This window comes from Homo sapiens, chromosome 9, assembly GCF_000001405.40.
Source record: "Homo sapiens chromosome 9, GRCh38.p14 Primary Assembly".
Classification (NCBI taxonomy): Eukaryota; Metazoa; Chordata; class Mammalia; order Primates; family Hominidae; genus Homo; species Homo sapiens.
In genome coordinates, this window is record NC_000009.12 from 115,244,714 (window position 1) to 115,263,883 (window position 19,170).

Consider the following 19,170-nt stretch of genomic DNA (forward strand, 5'->3'; position numbering starts at 1 on the left):
TAGAGGCATCAGAACTAATAAGGTCTAGAACAGAGTTCATGGAGCAAATGTCTCCTCTCTACTTGGCTGAAAAAAAAAACAAAAGGAAAGGAATGAAGATGTCAGTTGTGTTTTCAGAATGAGCTTTCCAGCAGATGGAGATGGGAACCTATATATATTTTTCTAACACTATCTTCTAGTTTCTAGTTCCTGTATTAGTTTCCAGTGCCCACCATAACAAATTACTACAAATTTCATGGCTTAAAACAAGAGAAATTTATTATCTCAGGTCCTGGAGGCCAGAAGTGTGAAATTACTGTTCCTTGTCTCTCCCAGCTTCCAGTGGTTCCCAGGTGTTCCTTGGCTTTGGCCAGATCATTCCAATCTATACCTCTATGGTCATCCTTCCTCCTTTTTTTCTCTGTGTGTCTTTTATAAAGACACTTGTCACTGTATTAAGCGTCCAGTCAGATAATCTAGAATGATCTCTTAATCTTGACAGCTTCAATTTAATTACATCTGCAAAGAACCTTCCCCAAATAAGGTAACAATCACAGATTTTGAGTATTAGGACATAGATATATGCTTCTGGACACCACCATTTAATCCACTACACACAGGAACTGTATGTACAGTGTCTCATCAGCTCCTCACAAGTCTGTGAGTTGTGGATATATATAAGCATTGGCTTTTGTTGTTAAATTCATTTTAGGATGAAAACATGCAGAAAAGAAGGGTTTTTTTTTTTTTTTTTTTTTTTGAGACAGAGTTTTCCTCTGTCACCCAGGCTGGAGTGTAATGGCTTGATCTCAGCTCACTGCAACCTCCACCTCCCTGGATCAAGTGATTCTCCTGACTCAGCTTCCCAAGTAGCTGAAATTACAGGTGCCCACCACCCCACCCAGCTAATTTTTGTATTTTAGTAGAGATGACATTTCACAATGTTGACCAGGCTGGTCTCCAACTCTCGGCCTCCTAGGAGGCCCTATCTTTAGAGGACATATATACAGATACACTATGTTGAATAGGGGATTCCCATTAGGGTATTGAGTTTGACCCAATTATTATTCTCTTAACGGTTTAAAGGAACCTTGACTCAACTCTGACCCCGTCTCTATTTAGCTGTGAATAATTTTTAATGAGTCTGTTTGCCTCTTGCTCCTCAGATTTTCCAAGTGTGAAACGAGCAATCTGAACTATGAGCTCTCACTTAGTTTATGAGTCAAACCTTCCATCAAAATCAGTCCTGAAGACCAAGGTTTTGAAGGAATAATGCCATCTTTACAAGTGTAACTTTTGCTGAAAATATTCAAACTCTTCCCACTACGACTCAACTAGTGATACAAAATCCAATTGCTAGGAAGCTTTAGGATTCACCCTGGTGAGGACCATCTTCCCTGAAATACTCTTTTCTTCTAGGCTATACCTCTTATTTCACCTTCAAAACCCATCTTAAGTATTCCTCCTTCCCTGATCTTCCTAGGCAAAATTCACTAATCTTACCATCCCCTTTCCCCTCCCCTCAATACTTTATGTTGTGCATGCTTGAATAGTGACACTTATCTTTATATATAATTATTCCTTTTTCTTATCTCACTCTTCTAAAGTGTGAGTAAATGCATGAGGTACTCTTAATATTCTTTGAGAAGATGTCAAGATGAGGAACCTACACTCTCACTTTTCTTCTTGATAGTTGATTGGAAGAGTGCCAGAGCTGTTAGAGGAAGAAAGTCTGAGTTAGTGAAATACAGAAGACATTTTTTAAAAGAAGTCTAGTGCTGTTTTTCCTTTGTGAAAGAAATTGCTTCTTTGTTTTTTTCCTCTTGTCTTTGCTTTCCCTCATCCTTTTCTTTCTGTTTTTTACCGTTTATTTTCATCCTCTATCAAACATGCATGCTGAGCTCTAACTAATTTGCAGTTACTCCTACGCCTAAAGATAAAGAGATAAATAAGCCACTGTCCTGCCATCGAATAGCTCATAGTCTCATGGCCAAGATAGTTGAGGAAATAATTACAGCACATCATACTATATCATATCATTTCATATATGACATATATACTAGTTAACATGGTACAATCATTGTATTACATATTTTTACATATAATTTTAATCTATAATATGTACCATATTATACACTACAAGGAGGATGTGCCAATGCTTTAGCAGTCCTCCTCCTGGCTTTAGGAGAAGCCATATAGAAAATGTGTTAGAAAATGAATGTCTTCATCAGACAAAAAAAGGAAATTTAGAATGGAGCACACTCAAAATCTCAGAGACTGTGAACTTGAAAAGCAAACCCAGGCAGATATATGATAATCAAATAAAATTTTCTATGTCCACTTTTTTCATGGAAGAGCTATTTTTAAGGCTTACTTGGGGGTTCCAGTTCCCACGGTAGATGTTGTACCTCCACTAGCTCTGCAAGACAGTGGGCTGTGCCAACATCATCATCTGCCTACCATTCAGATCTCCATCCAAAGCAGACAGCAGGATACTAGCAAGCTGAGACTGAGCATATCACCCTTCTCCCTGAACACTCAGCCTAGTTTGCATTAGTCCCCTTCTCTGCTACTTCAGACTCCACAGAAACCATGTGTCTTTCCATTGCAAAGTTAATTTGCAAAACACTCAATAAACTTCTAATTTTATTTTATTTTCCTGGGATCTGATGTTGCAAATAAAAGAAAATTATAAAATGGGGGCAATTACTGATTGGGCTGTTATTGATTACTGTGTTATTTTAATACCACCAATAGCCATTAATTATCAGGTCATAAAGGTACAAAGCATAAGCTGATTTATCATAATATCCCTGTATCTTTGACTGTGCTTGGCATAAATTAGGTAACCAGTAAATGAGAATTAAATTCAGTTGAGCAAGTTTGAAGGATTAAATGAAGCAGGCATTATTCATTTTCTTTATATATCAGAAATGGATCAGAATTTAACCAAGAAGGGAGCTGACATTCCCCTTGTGGTGTGCTAGTTAGTCCAGGAGCTATTTCTTATGGTACGAAACACACATACTCTCCTGTTGGGGTGTTTCTGTGGCTGACTTGATGGAGGTCTGCGTGCATGACCTTTCTCTTTTCAGCCCTCCTCTCCTGCATTGCATCTTACTTCATGCTACTGACTATAAAATCTTTCTGAAATGCAGATTAGATCACCTGTCCAAGATTCTGTTTATTTTCATACCATTTGTGATGGTTAATACTGAGTGTCAACTTGATTGGATTGAAGGATGTAAAGTATTGTTGCTGGGGGGGTGTCTGTGAGGGTGTTGACAAAGGAGATTAACATTTGAGTCAGTAGGGTGGGAAAGGCAGACCCATCCTTAATCTGGGTGGGTACCATCTAATTAGCTGCCAGCATGGCTAGAATATAAAGCAGGCAGAAAAATGTGAAAAGACTGGCCTGGCCTAGCCTCCCAGCCTACATCTTTCTCCCATGCTGTATGCTTCCTGTTCTCAAACACTGGACTTCACGTTCTTCAGCTTTGGGGCTTGGACTGGCTTCCTTGCTCCTCAGCTTGCAGACAGACGGCCTATTGTGGGACCTTGTAATCGTGTGAGTTAATGCTACTTAATAAACTCCCATATATATAGGATATATATATATATATAAAATAGAATATATATATATCCTATTATATATAGATATATATATAAAATGGGATATATGTATATAGGATATATGTGTATATCCTATTAGTTTATAGGATATATGTGTATATATATAGATACATCTATATAAAATGGGATATATGTATATAGGATATATGTGTATATCCTATATATATATACATAAATATATCCTATTAGTCTGTCCCTCTAGAGGACCCTGACTAATACACGATTTAAGAAAATTGTAGTGAGAACACTTAACATGAGATCTATCCTTATACGAAATCTTTAAGTGCACAGTACAGTATTGTTAATTATAGGCATAATGTTTACAGCAGATATCTAGAACATTTGTCTTACATAGCTGAAACCCTATACTCACTGAACACAACTCATTTCTCCTCTCTGGCCCCTCACAGCCACCATTTGGTTGTCTGTTTCTATGAGTTTTACTATTTTAGATCTCTCACAGAATTAGAATCATGCAGTATTTGTCCATTTGTGACTGGATTATTTTACTTAGCTTCAGTGACTGGATTATTTTACTTGGCTTTACAGAGTTTATTCATGTTATTGTATATGGCAGGATTTATTTCTTTTTTTAAGGCTGAATAATATTCCGGTGTGTGTGTGTGTGTGTATGCAAATATACGTATTTTTAAGGCTGAATATTTCATTGTGTCTGTGAACACACACACACATACACATATATAGACATTTAGGCTATTTCTTGGCTACTGAATAATGGCTTGAATAACATATATTAGCTTGAATAAATGCTGCAATAGATATGGAAGTGTATATATTTCTTTCAGATCTTAATTTTAATTCTTTTGGATATATACCTAGAAGTGAGAGGGCTAGGCCACATAGTAATTCCATGTTTAATTTTTTGAGGGAACTTCACACTATTTTCCACAGCAACTGCACCATTTTTACATTCCCAACAGTGTACAAGGGTTCCAATTTCTCTATATTCTTGCCAACATTTATCTTTTTTCTGATAATAGACATTCTAATAGTTGATATTTTATTGTACTTTTGATTGCATTCTCTGATGATTAATGATAGTGAGCATGTTTTCATATACCTATTGGCCATTTGTATGTCATCTTTGGAGAAATGTCTACTCAAGTCCTTTGCCCATTTTTAAATCGTTATTTATTTATTTATTTTGCTATTGAGTTGTTTGAGTTTCTTACATATCTTAGATATAAATACCTTGTCAGATCTTTGGTTTGCAAATATTTTCTCCCATTCTGTATGTTGCCTTTTTACTCTGTTGATTGTTTCTTTCGCTGTGCAGAAGATTTTAGTTCAGTCTCACTTGTTTGATTTTGCTTTTGTTGCTTGCGCTTTTGATGTCACGTCCAAAAAATTATTGCCAAGTCCAAGGTCATGAAGCTTTTCCCCTTCATGTTTTCTTTTAGGCATTTTATGGCTCCAGGTCTTAGGTTTCAATCTTTAATGCATGTTTAGTTGATTTTATGGTCTCACTTCTGCCTGGGCCTAAGCCCCACCCCTCAGACATAAGCATACTCTACACCTGCATGGCTGGGCAGCCCTCAAATATGCCTTGGGTTTTCTCGATCCTTCATGGCTGCACATGTACCGTGTTCCAGGAAGATACCTGTTCACCATTTCTCCATTTGTTTGACTTTTTTTTTTTTAAAGCCCATCTCAGACCTGACTACCTCATGGAGGCTTTCCCTGAAAGCCCATGGCTTGATTAGGGAATCACTCTTCCTTTTTTCATAGCCTGTGTTTTCTCTATTGGTCATGTGTGTGCTGTTTTCTTCAATTCAACTCTGAGTTCCATGAGGATAAAGATAATGTCCTTGTTCTTGGTAACATTCTCATTTCTAATCATAGGACCTAGCATCTACTAGTTGCTCAATTCATAGGAAGGAAGGAAGAAGGAAGGAAGGAAAGAAGAAAGGAGAAAGGAAGAAGGAAGGAAGGAAAGAAGAAAGGAGAAAGGAGGAAAGGAAGGAAGAGAGAACATAGAGGGACAGTTATCACCAAATGGCAGCAGAAGACCATTTGGTGATATGACCATCCTAGAGGAAAAAAAGTGGGCACAGGGATTGCTACACTCTGAATGTTTGTGTCCCCCTAAAGTTGATATGTTGAAAGCTAATCCCCAGTGTGATGGTATTTGGAAGTGGGGCTTCTGGGAGGCGATTAGATCATTAAGGTGGAGCCCTCATAAATGAGATTAATGTCCTTTTTCATGGTGATATGGTTAAGTTCAGCAAGAATTATTTTATGTATAAGCTCTTCAGAAAGAATTTGCAACAGCTGCCCACTATCTGGCTTTGGAGGATCAAGGATGTGTGGCTACTCAGCTACTCCATAAACATTCTAGGGAGCTAAAGAGGAATTTGCTGTTCACCCTGGAAGCCAGTGGGTTGCTTTTGTTTGTTGTGTCTCTGCTGCCATGACTCCCAGATGACACCCCATCTACATAAATGTTGCAGCAAACAGAGATGGAGCCACCAGGTGGATTTTTTCAACCCCAAGAACCTCAGCAAACCAGCAGCTGACAATGACTGAGAGTGGGCCCCAAACACAGGGGAAGGAATGTGGATCTGTCTCGATCTGCCTCATGTGAGGGGAAATGATAAAGAAGGAGTCATAACAGACTGGCAGCAACTCAAGTATTTGGCACTAAAGGCCTCTTCCAAAGAATCATTTTCAAAGATGGGTCTGCACCCCTGCAGAAGTTCTCATGTTTCTATAAATGCTATGCTTGTCTTTCTTTCTTTTTTCTTTATCTTTCTTTCTTTTTCTCTTTTAAAAAATTTTCTGGTCTTTCAGTGTAAAGAATTAGAAGGGCCAGGTCTCAGGCATCAGGTAAAGACTGGAAAAAAATATATAAGGATGTGAAGCAAGCACCCCTTTGGAGAAACAGCAGGTCTGTCTGGAAGGTGTCCTTCTGCCCTCAGGGACCTTCTCTTTATGCCAGCAATGCCAGGCCCACTGAGTTCTTCCCACTTACCTTGGTGTTGACCCGATGCCTGAATTCCCCATCACTTTTTCCAAATGGCTTTCCATCTCTTCTCTTCTCTTGACTATACCCTGGGGAAAAGATGCTCTTTGGGCTTCTCTTTCTACTTTATAAAGTAATTCCCTGCTGACAACAGAGTATAACCATACATTCTTGCCTGACTTTCCTTCAAAGTCATGTCTACCTTCCTCTCATGCTCTTGACTTTTTATTCATTAATTTCCTCATTTCTTCTGTGTCTGTCTCCACCTGTTCCCTGGATCTTCAGCTTGCAGGGATCCCCTTGTTTATCACAATTAAGGTATACATTGGCTTAAAACCCTATTCTACAGATGGTGGGATCTCAATGTCCTATAATGTTCTATGAGGACTCCAGGGATTCCGGCCCTGGTTCAGGTCTCTCTTATTCTCCATCTCTTCACTTCTCCCACTGCCATTCATCAATGATTGGCAAACATTTCCTTTTAATTTATTTTCCCCAAACTCAAAGATAATAATTGTGGATAGCAGACTTTTACTGACAATCCAACATCAGAGTATGCATGTAAAAGTGTGCAACTTTACAGCTGATCATGGAAATTATTTCAGCTCAGCCTGCATTCTTACTATTTCTCTTCCTCCTTCTCTCTTTTCTAGTACTTTAAACCTCCTTCTCCAATATTGTGGTTTATTTCCTGGGTAAAACTGTTTAACTGTTTTATCCTAGCCCTCGCCAGTGCCACTTTTAAATAACAAAATAACCCATGAGAGATTTTTGCTACTTAAAGGCCATTCTCTCCCTTAAGTACAGTTTAATCACTAGATATTAGTCTAACAGCTTTCTGTACTATACATTTGCTCAGTCGACAAATGGCCTTAGTGACTATGGATGTGAAAAAGGAAAGATTCCCACTTTTCTCCTGTAGTTCGATGCTTTACATTATAGCTTCTTTCAAGTCTTGAGAGCAGGTGCCACATTTCATTTGTTTTTATATTGCTGGTGCCTAGTATCATACCTAGTATGCATTGACAATATGCAGTAAATGTTTTATGGCAAAGTGGTTTCAGGTATTGTCATTAGGCACCTTTAAGAGGTGGGAAGATGAGACTCAGAAAACTTATGTCGTGAAGTCTTAATCATAGAGTAAATGGCAGAGATAGGTCTGGAAACACCCAAATGTTCAGACACCAAATATCAAACTTTTTCTTCTCTATCATATTAGTGGCATGTTTCCCATGAATAATAATTTATTTTTTCAGATTTTACACATATGCAAAATTGTTCCTTTCAGGCTGATTACCCATCCCTACAGGTTCATCCCCCACTGCATTTGTGTGAGAATGGGTGGTGGGCAATTGTTGAGGGAGGGCACATGCAGAGCCCATTCTTGGCCCTCACTCAGGTACCAGGTGCTCCAGCCATCGTTACAGCTGACTGCTGAAGAAGCTACTGTAAGTCAGTTCAAAGAGTTTCTGGGCTCTTTTTTACACAGTCAGTCCTTGAAGGCACAAACTGGGCCATAGCAGCAGAAAATGACCATCCTAAAGGAAAAACAAATGGGCACAAGGGATTGCTACAGTCTGAATGTCTGTGTCCTCCTAAAATTTGTATGTTGAAACCTAATCCCCAATGTGATGGTATTTGGAAGTGGGGCGTCTGGGAAGTGACTAGATCATTAAGGTGGAGCCCTTATAAAAGGGATTAGTGCCCTTATAAAAGAGATCCCAAAGAACTTCTTCATCCCCACTACTATGTGAGGACTCAGGGAGAAATTGTTATTTCTAGGAACCAGAAAGTGGGTTCTCACCAAACACCAAATCTTCTGGCACCTTGATCTTGAACTTGCCAGCCTCCAGAACTGTAATAAATAAATTTCTATTGTTTATAAGCTACCTTGTTTATGGTATTTTGTTAAGCAACCCAAACTGAGACAATAATGTTGCCCAGTATATCAGTTTTCTATTGTTATGTTACAAATCACCACAAATTTAACAGCTAACATATAACACAATTATCTCATAGTTTCTGTGGATTAGAAGTGTAAGCAAAGACTTAGTTAGTTCTCTGCTTAAGGTCTAGATCTTAAGCCAACAGCTTTTTGCACCATACATTTACTCAGTAAACAAAAACTGACTACCCTTGAGTATGATATCCTAGGCCCTACTGACTATAGAGGTGCAAAAGGAAAGATTCCCACTCTGCAATCAAAGTGTCGGCTGGGCTGTGTTTTCATCTGAAAGTTTGACTGGAGAAGAATCAATGTCCAACCCCATTCAGGTTGTTAGCAGTATTCCTTTCTTTGTGGCTGTTCAGCTGAGGGTTTTAGCATTGTGGCAGCTATCAGTATATTTAAATTTCTTCTTTCTGGATTATTTTAACTTCCATTTCAATGAAAACAATATAAAAATATTCCTTAAGTATAAGTAGTAAAAATTACTCAAAAATCATATGGGCATTAATTTTGAAGTAGGTATTTTACTATGAAATTCAATCTGAATAAGAATGTTGGAAATCTTTCCTGTGGAAATAATGATCAAAATAGTATCAAGATGAATTGATATTTTTTTTCTTTAGCATACGAACCCATAAATTGAACTGAATTCAGGAGAATTGCTTGGGCTTAATTAGAAAATCCCAGGTCTTCAGTAAGTGCTACTTTATGACTTCATGTACTTCCCTAACAATACCCTTCTCTCCTCTCCTGTAACCCCTATGTCTTCTCTTTCCCCCATTTATGGGACTTCTACTGCTCTGTATCATTCACCAAATCTCTTGTATGGCCTGAATTAATTATTTGAGAAGTCCTGAAGACTTGGTTGGGGACTAGGTCCCAAATATTCCAACTCCTAAAGGCTCAATTCAGCTCAAAGCATGCTTACTTGGAATTGGGTATATCAGAATTCCAGAAACTTAATGTAATTTTTAAGATGAAAAGGCTGTATTTAAATAGTTGTAAATAGTTTGCTCTTTTCTGGAGTAGAGATGTGGACTTGCTTTAGGAGGAGCAGACTGTGCCTTTTGCTTCTGTTTGCAGAGGGACTTCATTGTAGGCTCTTGCAGTCATCTAGGTCATGAGTCAACAAACTTTCTATAAAGGACCAGATAGAAAATATGTTATGTTAGGCTTTGCAGTCCAGGTGGTCTCTGTCACAACTACTCAGCACTTCATTATAGCATGAAAGTAGACCTAGACAATATGTAAACCAAAAAGCATGGCTGTTATTACAACAAAACTTTATGGACACTGCCATTTGAATTTTATATGATTTTCATAGGTCATGAAATTTTATTATTTTTTTGACCTTTGTTCAATGATTGAAAAATGCTTAAACTTTTCTTGGCTTGCAGACCATAAAAAATCAGGCAGCAGGCTGGATTTAGTCCCTGGGGTATAGTTAGTCAACTTCTGTTATAAATACAAAGCAAGCACCTACCCCTTGTTTTTTGGGAAAAAAAAAAAAAGTCTCTCCCCCATCCCGTTGGAAGTCATTTAGGGCTGCATTCAGAGTTACAGGGATCTCAGGAGAGCTGGGGAGAAGAGAACTGTCTCTGAGGTTGGGCTTTCAAAATAACTGCTTGCTATATTTGGAGGCAGCAGCCAAAAGAAGAGCCTTATAGACTCCCAGCCCATTGCAGCCACGTGGAGGACAGCTGGGCCCAGCCAATCTAGGATTGCAGTGATCTCATGGGCAGGTGAGGGGGCTGTACAGGAAGATTACGAAGGGTAACAGCTGCCACTTGAGTGAAATCATCTCAGTAGAGCAAGGGGCGACCTGTAGAAGAACAGATGGCTGTCTGGAGATACATGCCTGGTTTATACAAAAGGCGACAACCAAGAGAGAGTTGTGGAAAATTTTAAAGTGTCATGAAGATTCCCAGGGATATTTTGTGAAGTGTGGTGCAGCACTGGTAAAAGAATGAATTTTCATTGAGTAGCTTGAGGAATAATGCACCTATAATTTGGACGCCCAAAGAAGTGTAGGGTCTGACTTCTGAGGTCTGAGATGTATGTTATCATAAACACTTTTGGTTTCCAAGCAACATCTGTATCTCTATTCTTCATTCTGTTTTTTTTTTTTTAACTTTCTACTTTGAAAAAATTTAAACTCTTCAGAAAAGTTGAAAAATAATCCAAAAACCTCCCATATTCCCTTCATCCAGATTCCTCAATTGTTAACAATTTTCCACTTCTTTTTCTAGCATTCTCTCTGTTTTGTACATACCCAACTGCACATATACTATTTTTTCTGAGCCATTTGCAAATAAGTTACATCAGTTTATAGTTCTTAAAAACAAGGATATTCTCCTGCATAACGCCAGTACAACCATCAAAATCAGGAAGTTAGCATTGACCCAATAATGCTGCCTGATGCATACATCCAGTTGAAATTTCTGTTGTCCCCATAATGTCCTTTATATGTCTTGGATCCATTCCAGTAACGTGTTGATTTAGTTGCCATGTCTTTTTACTCTCTTTTAGTCTGAAAGAATTCTTTAGTCTTTCCTTTTCTTTCATGACTGACATTTTTAAACAGAGCAGAATTGTTACTTTGTTAAATGTTTCTCAGTATAGGTTTGTATAATGATTCTTCAAGATCTATGAGCTTTTTATAGAAATATTAGCCAAATATTCTTCTCATGGCATCATATTGTTAAGTACCAAATGCTAATTTGTACCATTACTGGAGATATTAACTTTTATCACTTGGTTAAAAGGTGTCTATAAGGTTTCTCTACTATGAGGTTAGCTAATAGGTATTTTGTACTCATCAATTAATGATTAATAAGATTGCATTTTGTGGGTAAATTCATGTCTTCTACTGTAAGTTGGAGCTTTTCCTTCTATCCTATGTATTTATACTGGTATAGATGAATGGATTTCTTTTTTAACTCAATGGATTATAGCCTGTAAATATCGTTCCTCATTTTGATACTCAAATTGTTCTAGACTTGACCAGTGGTGCCTTTCAAACTGGCTCCAGTGGCGTCTCCACCTGTTACCATCATTCATTCAGCAATTCCTTGGTTTATCATACAACAGAACATTCCAGGTGTCTTGTATTAGTCTGTTCTCGCACTTCTATAAAGAAATACCCGAGACTGGGTAATTGATAAAGAAACGAGGTTTAATTGGCTCCCAGTTCTGCAGGCTGTACAGGAAGCATGAGGCTGGCATTTGCTCAGGAAGTGTATAATCATGGTAGAAGGCAAACGGGGAGCCAGCACTTCATATGGCCGGAGCAGGAGGAAGAGAAGCAGGGAGGTGCTACACACGTTTGAACCACCAGATATCGTGAGAACTCTGTCACTATACAGTACCAAGAGGGGATGGTGCTAAACCATTGATAAGAACTCTACCCCATGATCCAATCACCTCCCACCAGGCTGCACCTCCAACAGTGGGGATACAATTGAACATGAGATTTGGGTGGGGACACAGATCCAAACCATATCACTTATCTTGATAAGTGACTTTCCTTTCTTCAGCTCTGGAACCATCAATACTCTTTAGTTGTTCCTCTACTTTATGTAATCTTTATTTTATGTATTATTTTACATATTACTTTATGTAATATGTAAAATTATTTTACATATTACTTTATGTAATATGTAAAATTATTTTACATTTTACATTATTTTACATATTACTTTATGTAATCATTATTTTAGTAGAGAAGCATATACAGAAAGCAAGAACCAAGACTGCCCATTGGGTGAGGGGTGCCAGTGTTTCTAGGTACTTTTAATAAGCAGATCTAGAACACCCACACACAGAGCACATACAGACACACACACACAGGCATACAGTTACAGATACAGATACACAGACACATACACAGACAGGCAGAGAACACACAGACAGGCAGAGCACACATAGACACATATACAGACATACATAGATACAGACACACACACAGACCCACAGACCCACAAACATGCACAGACACACACACAGGCACAGACACATACAAACATACACACAGATGTACACATACACAGACACACAGATACACACACCTGAGCCAGAACTGTAGCATTGAATCAAAGATAGAGCCTGTTCTATCTTTTGACCCTCAATTATTTGTATCAGTACATTTTCTTTTTAATGAAGCCAATTTGAATGGGGTTTTCTGTTATTTGCTGATGAAAGCAACCTAACTGATAAACACAGATAATGGTTATATGCACCAGGCTCAGTTCTCAGAAGCTGGAATACAGAGATAAATAAGCCTAATGAGATCAAATTAAATATTATAATAAATTCTATGATAAGGAAGACACAAGACACAGTATAAGCTCAGAGGAAGTCTGCGTGAGGTATTGCCTAAACTAGCCAGAAGTTTGCTATACATAGACATCACAGAAGAAGGAGAAGCCATTATAGACAAAGAATTCGGTGCAAAGACTTGGAATGCCAAAAGCTGAAGGAGGGTGGTGATAGAGGTGTTCATGTTTGAATAAAAAGTATGAGTCGTTAATTTAATAATGATACATATGTTGGTCATATATGGGTGCTGTAAAGATATCTCTGCTGACTGTATGGGGATAAATATGTCCAGAGGTTATGGGGAATTGAAGATAAAAGGCTAAATTCTTCCAGGGCAGGAGGAATTCAAAGTTATAAATTCATTCCTCTGAAATGCCTCTTCTTGTGAGAATGGATTGTGGTGTGCGCCCTACTTCTCTGAAGAGTATGCTGAGTTTGATTCATGAACCTGAATAATTTTCTTAATTTTACTGACAACACTGTGTATTGGACATGATAGCAGAGGCCAGGAAGCTGTCTGTCTCAAGACCTGAGGCTGTTTACTCCTTTAATCCAAGATGGCAGATATGCCTACACATGAGTTCTCTTCAACTAAGTCGTAGAACACAATCTCCTGGGCCAAAACTCAATCATTCTCTGAAATAGCATCTCTGCTCTGTGGATTCTTTCTGCCACTCCAGAATTGGTCTCTTCCCAGTGACACAGATCTGGTGCAGTTTTGATATGATGTTGGCAGTTGCAACTTTTGGGAAAAGGCAATAAGAATCTGTCTGCTTAGTGATCTCCATAAAAACCTAGAGCACCAGTCATGTCACTATATTGCTTAACTAATTTTAAAGAAAATTTAGCTTGTATCATTTTAATTAAAATCCAACAAGAGGACAAGACCCAATAAAAGAAAGAAAAGGGGCAAATTTTGGAAAGAAAGGCATAATCATTATTTTAGGTTATAAGATATATCTACAAAATCAGAAAGAACTAACAAAAATAATATTGAAATAGAGAAGGCAATTTAGAAAGTAGTCTACATACAAGATAAGTAGAGTAAGAACCAATTAAGTATCAGCATTAAGAAGATAGAACATTTAATAATATACTGTACATCAAAAAACAAAATAAAATTATTGATGAAGAGATATAAACTGTCCAGCAACCTTACCTTCCTTCAGACAACCAAATGTCATTGTCAACTGAACTGAATTGAGCATGAAGGCTAACAATTATTTAGCATACACTGTAACTCTTTTTGTTGCCAAGTACTCTTAGAACTTGTACCATGATTCTCCCAGGAATCCTTATGGTATATACTACAAGCCCTGCTATGGCTTGAATGTGTCTTCCAAAGTTGGAATTTAATCTCCAAGTTGTTGTAAACTTAATCTCCAATGCAACAGTGTTGGGAGGTGCAGCCTACTAAGAGGTGGTTAGGATATGAGGTCTCTGGCTTCGTGAATAGATTGATTTTATCATTGCAGCAGTGAGTTTGTTATGGTCCCAGTAGGTTGTTGTGAAAGTGAGTCCAGCCCCTTTTTACTTTCTCACTCTCTTGCAAGCTCTTACCATTTCACCTTCCACCATGAGATAATGTACCAAAAAGGCCCTCACCAGATACTGGACCCTCAAATATGGACATCCCAGCCTCCAGAAATAGGAGAAATAAATGGATTTTCTTTATAAAATATACAGTCTGTGATATTCTGTTATAGCAACAAAAACTGGACTAAGACAAGTCCCATTCCGCATATAAGAAAATTGAGACACAAGAGAGTCTCGAGATCATACAGCTAGTAAATGGCAGCATGGAATTAAAATCCTGTCTGCTTAACTCAAAATTCATAGTATTTTTTTATAATAACATGCTCTAGATTGAGTTTTCAGTTGTCAAATTATCTCCTTAAGTGAAAGTTGTTCTTTTTTTATGAGAAAACACAAACTGCTATCTTCCACCCTGGCTCTTTTATATTTGTAGGTCAACATTTTTTATATTTGGCTTCCATGCAGTTTTCTCTCTAGTCCCACAGGTGAAACACTCCAATCCATAGTCAGTACTCTATATCTAGTTTGATTTAGAATAGCTGATACTTGTAGCCCGGGTGTGGTGGCTGATGCCTGTAATCCCAGCAATTTGGGAGGCCAAGGTGTGTGGATTACTTGAAGTCAGGAGTTCGAGACCAGCCTGGCCAATATAGTAAAACCCCATTTCTACTAAAAACACAAAAAATTAGCCAGGTATGGTGGTGCACAGCTGCAATCTCAGCTACTCGGGAGGCTGAGGCACTCGGGAGGCTGAGGCACAAGAATTGCTTGAACCTGGGAGGTGGAGGTTGTAGTGAGCCTAGATCAGGTCACTGCACTTCAGCCTGGGTGACAGAGCAAGACTCTGTCTCAAAAAGAAAAAAAAAGAATAGATGATACATTAGATGATACATGTATAGCGAAAACAAAAATGTAGCAATATTATTTTAAAATTAGTTCCTTTGTTTTAAAAGTTAAATGTAGAGAATTTGTGGCATTTTGTCTTGGTTGTTCAAATTAAAACTTGAAAGAGACGGAGGAGGAATTGTGGAGGTCCTGTTGATTGGATTAAATGTCCTTACTAGAGTGAAGTTCTCATAGAGCATTCCCCAGCTGTGACTTTCCAAATGTTACGGCCTTATTAATCAATGTCATCTTCCATATCAAAAGTCCAAATGCTTCCTTCCTGCTTTGTATTAAAATTTTCTCCAGGGATTGGATCTTTCCATTATCCTTCCTTCTGAAGAATGTGTCTATGTATAACTGGCAAGAGAACATGGGGGAGTCTTTCTGAAACTTTGTGGCTTCTGCCTAAAATAATTTATTCAAAATGTTTTGGGAAATTATTCTACAGATTCTTTTAAATGGAGAAATAATACAAAGTCCAAAAATTGCCTTGGTTTGGGGATACCGGCTTTTAAAAAGATCTCATTATTCCTTCTTTTGGTGATTAGTATTTCGTGCTTGGTGGGTTAAGAATAAATGAGCTGGAAATACCGTTGTTTTAGTCCATTTTGTGCTGCTATAACAAAATACCTGAGAAAGGATAATTTATAAAGTAAAGGAATTCGTCATAATTCTGGAGGCTGGGAAGTCCAAGACTGAGGGGCTGCATCTGGTGAGGGCCATCTTATTGCATCATAACGTGATGGAAAGCATCACACAGTGAGTGAACTCATGTAAGAGAGAAAGGGAGGTCTGAACTAACTTTTATAACAAATCCATTTTGGTGATAATGAACCCACTTCCACAATAACAACATTAATCCCTTCATGAAGGCAGATCCTTCATGACCTGATACCTCTTAGAGGTCTCACCCTGAAACACTGTTACATTTGGGCTAGTTTCCAACATGCGAATTTTATAGGACACATTCAAACCATAGCAACCATTAATGGGTATATATTGGTGAGGTTTCTGATATGAATAGCAAATATGATATGTGTATTAGTCCATTCTCACATTGCTATAAAGAACTACCCGAAACTGGGTAATTTATAAAGGAGAGAGGTTTAATTGACTCACAGTTCTGCATGGCTGGGGAGGCCTCAGGAAACTTACAATCATGGTGGAAGGAGAAGCAAACATGTCCTTCTTCACGTAATGGCAGGAAGAAATGCTGAGCAAAAGGGGAAAAATCCCCTTATAAAACCATCAGATCTAATAAGAAGTCACTCACTATCATGAGAAAAGCAGCATGGGGGTAACCACCCCTATGATTCAATTACCTCCCCACCAGGTTCCTCCCACAACATGTAGAAATTATGGAAACTGCAATTCAACATGAGATTTGGGTGGGTACACAGCCAAACCATATCAATATGATATAGTAGAAAGAACATAGGGTTGGAATTGCATATAACTTTATTCAATATCTGGATCTCTCACTTATGAAATGTACAAAACAGTTACATAGATGCTTTTGTTTGCAAATGATATATAGAGTAAGAAAAAATAATTTTTCCATTAGATTTGCTGTTCAACACTTCACATGCTTTTATTTCTCCCTTGAAGGTCTTCCCCTTCTTATATACTCAGATAATGTTTGCTTAGTCTTTTAAGCTTAATTCAATATTTATTTCCTCTGTGATGACTTCAACTATTCCTCTCCCCCAGGAAGAATGGGTATTCTCTCTCTGACTCCCAGATTACTTCACACTATTGTAAATATCACACTAAACTGGAATAATTTATCTTCCCAGATGTATCCCTAGTTAGACTCTGCCAAGATTGGTCTTCATATCCACAATGCCCAGCCTAGTGCCTGATATCCTGTAAGTGTTCAAAAGTGTTTGTTTTGATATACTGGGCCTATATAAATAGAGTCATTTTCAGAATAAATTTACTATTGCCTGAATTTTCTGGATAATTTTGCCAATTAGTCATTGGTGATTGAATCACAGAGTCAAATGCTAGAATGCCAGATCTGACTCATCCAACTCATCATTTCTGTTCCATCTTTATAGTTATCATCATATCCACCTATCCCCTCCATTGGTATTAATATTTTCTTATGTTGAGAAAATAACATAAAAACTTAAGAACAACTGTAAAAACTGAATTACTTTACATTCATTCTAAGAACTTATGTGACATCAAGTGTATGAGATGATAATTATCTTCTAGTGCACATTACAATAATTTATAACTGCTGAAATGTTTAGAAGTTTGTCCATGTAGTACCCATAAACATTTTACATATTGCCAGTGAAACACAGAGTGTTTCCCAAAGAAACACTTAGCTTTGGGTCTTTCTTACTTACAAGTGAGGACTTTACATGTTCAGAGAAATAAATGTCTAACCTGTGGTCTCACAGCTGCAGATCCTGGACAAAAATCTTCGTCTTCTTAGCTGGCCTTCAATGACAGTTTTATGAATTAAGCCAAATATGTACATTTCCTTGGTTCCTCAGCACTTTGAACAGCCTTTGTCATTGCTTCAGGCTTTTGAGGGTAGGGTGAAAGCAAGACACTACACAGCTCCCTGCCTGTGCCCTAGCAACCAAGCACAACACAGATGGCCAGCCTGGCAATCTGCCCAGCAGACACTGATTGCATACCTGGTGGTAAGACACAATGGTGTTTGCACAGTGTGGTTGGCATTTATAGTGATAGGCAATGAAGACTGCATCCTGTGCCTTCAGGCCAGTTTGCTGGTTTCCAGACCAGAGGCAATAACTTTCCACTAGTGTAATGACAACTTGTCTCTTGCAGCTGGATCATGTTAGGAGAGTAGGAATTTTATTTTTGCTCCCTTTTCAATGGTGCCTTGTAATAATAGGGTAGTATTTTCCCAATATGTTTCTTGCCAGTTGTACACATGTATTGGCTCCTGAAGCCCTGAACATTCATTGGCATCAAAGAATGGGAATGGTCCCTATTTATAGGAGAGCAGTCCCCATTCTACAGGTGAAGAGAATACACCTTATACCAATCCAAGAAGCATTTATTATATGCCTGTTATTATTTGTTAAATTGAGTGAATGACTATTGTGTATAAGCCATTCTACCAGGCCTTGGGCATAGAAAGATACATAACATAAGCATGACTCAAGAGGCACTCAGACCAGTAGATGTGACAGACATTTAAACTAATAACATGATGAGTGGTCTAATAGAGGGGTGTACCTAGCACTGTGGGAACACAAAGGAGGGGGCTGTTAATCCTTCCTAGAGGTTAAAAATGAAAGCTAAATTGATGCTGAACACTGCATCCAGGGATATGCATTATGGCAAGTTGGTGAGAGCTCTTGTTCTGCTGCCTCACGAATCTGTGTTCAAGTTCCCACTTTGCTAATTACTCCTTTTGTAGTTTTAGGCAAGTCTCAAAGCTTTCCAGATCTCATTGTATATATAATGGAGACAGAGTTCATGCCTTATATATGTATATAAAGTGAGAACAAAATGAAATACTCATTATAAAGTGCTTAGCATTTTTTTCTGGCATCTAGTATGTGTTTAATAAATATTAGCTCCAGTTGTCATTCTTATCATTATTGTTATTATGTGATGATGATGTGGGTTGCCTTGCAGGCAGACTTATGATGTGGTATTATCATTGGCATCAGAATATGCTGGCTACAGATTCACCCTTGAGTTTGACTACCTATGTGTCTTTGAGCAGAGTCTTCACTGTTCTGAAGTGATTTACTTTACATGACCAAGATGGATAAGTAGGCCACTTATCATCATCTCCTAAGATTCCTTCTAAAAACAAATCTTTTGAACAAGGTTGGGCATTTCCAGAATTTTGGTTCTTTTAGAATGTCTCATTAAGCTTTCAGAGGCATTACTC

General features: G+C 38.0%; 2 long non-coding RNA genes across 2 annotated transcripts in view; one reads left to right on the top strand and one right to left on the bottom strand.

Annotated features, from left to right (window-relative positions):
• DELEC1 (deleted in esophageal cancer 1) overlaps positions 1 to 19,170 on the top strand; it is a 260,827-nt gene that overhangs the window by 102,896 nt on the left and 138,761 nt on the right. The gene's annotated exons all lie outside the window — the stretch shown is intronic.
• On the bottom strand, positions 7,822 to 17,830 carry LOC105376233 (uncharacterized). Its single transcript, XR_930267.3, has 3 exons — positions 17,679 to 17,830; positions 9,472 to 9,680; positions 7,822 to 8,450 (listed from the first exon to the last, which is right to left on the bottom strand). It is a non-coding gene; the product is annotated as an uncharacterized LOC105376233 (long non-coding RNA).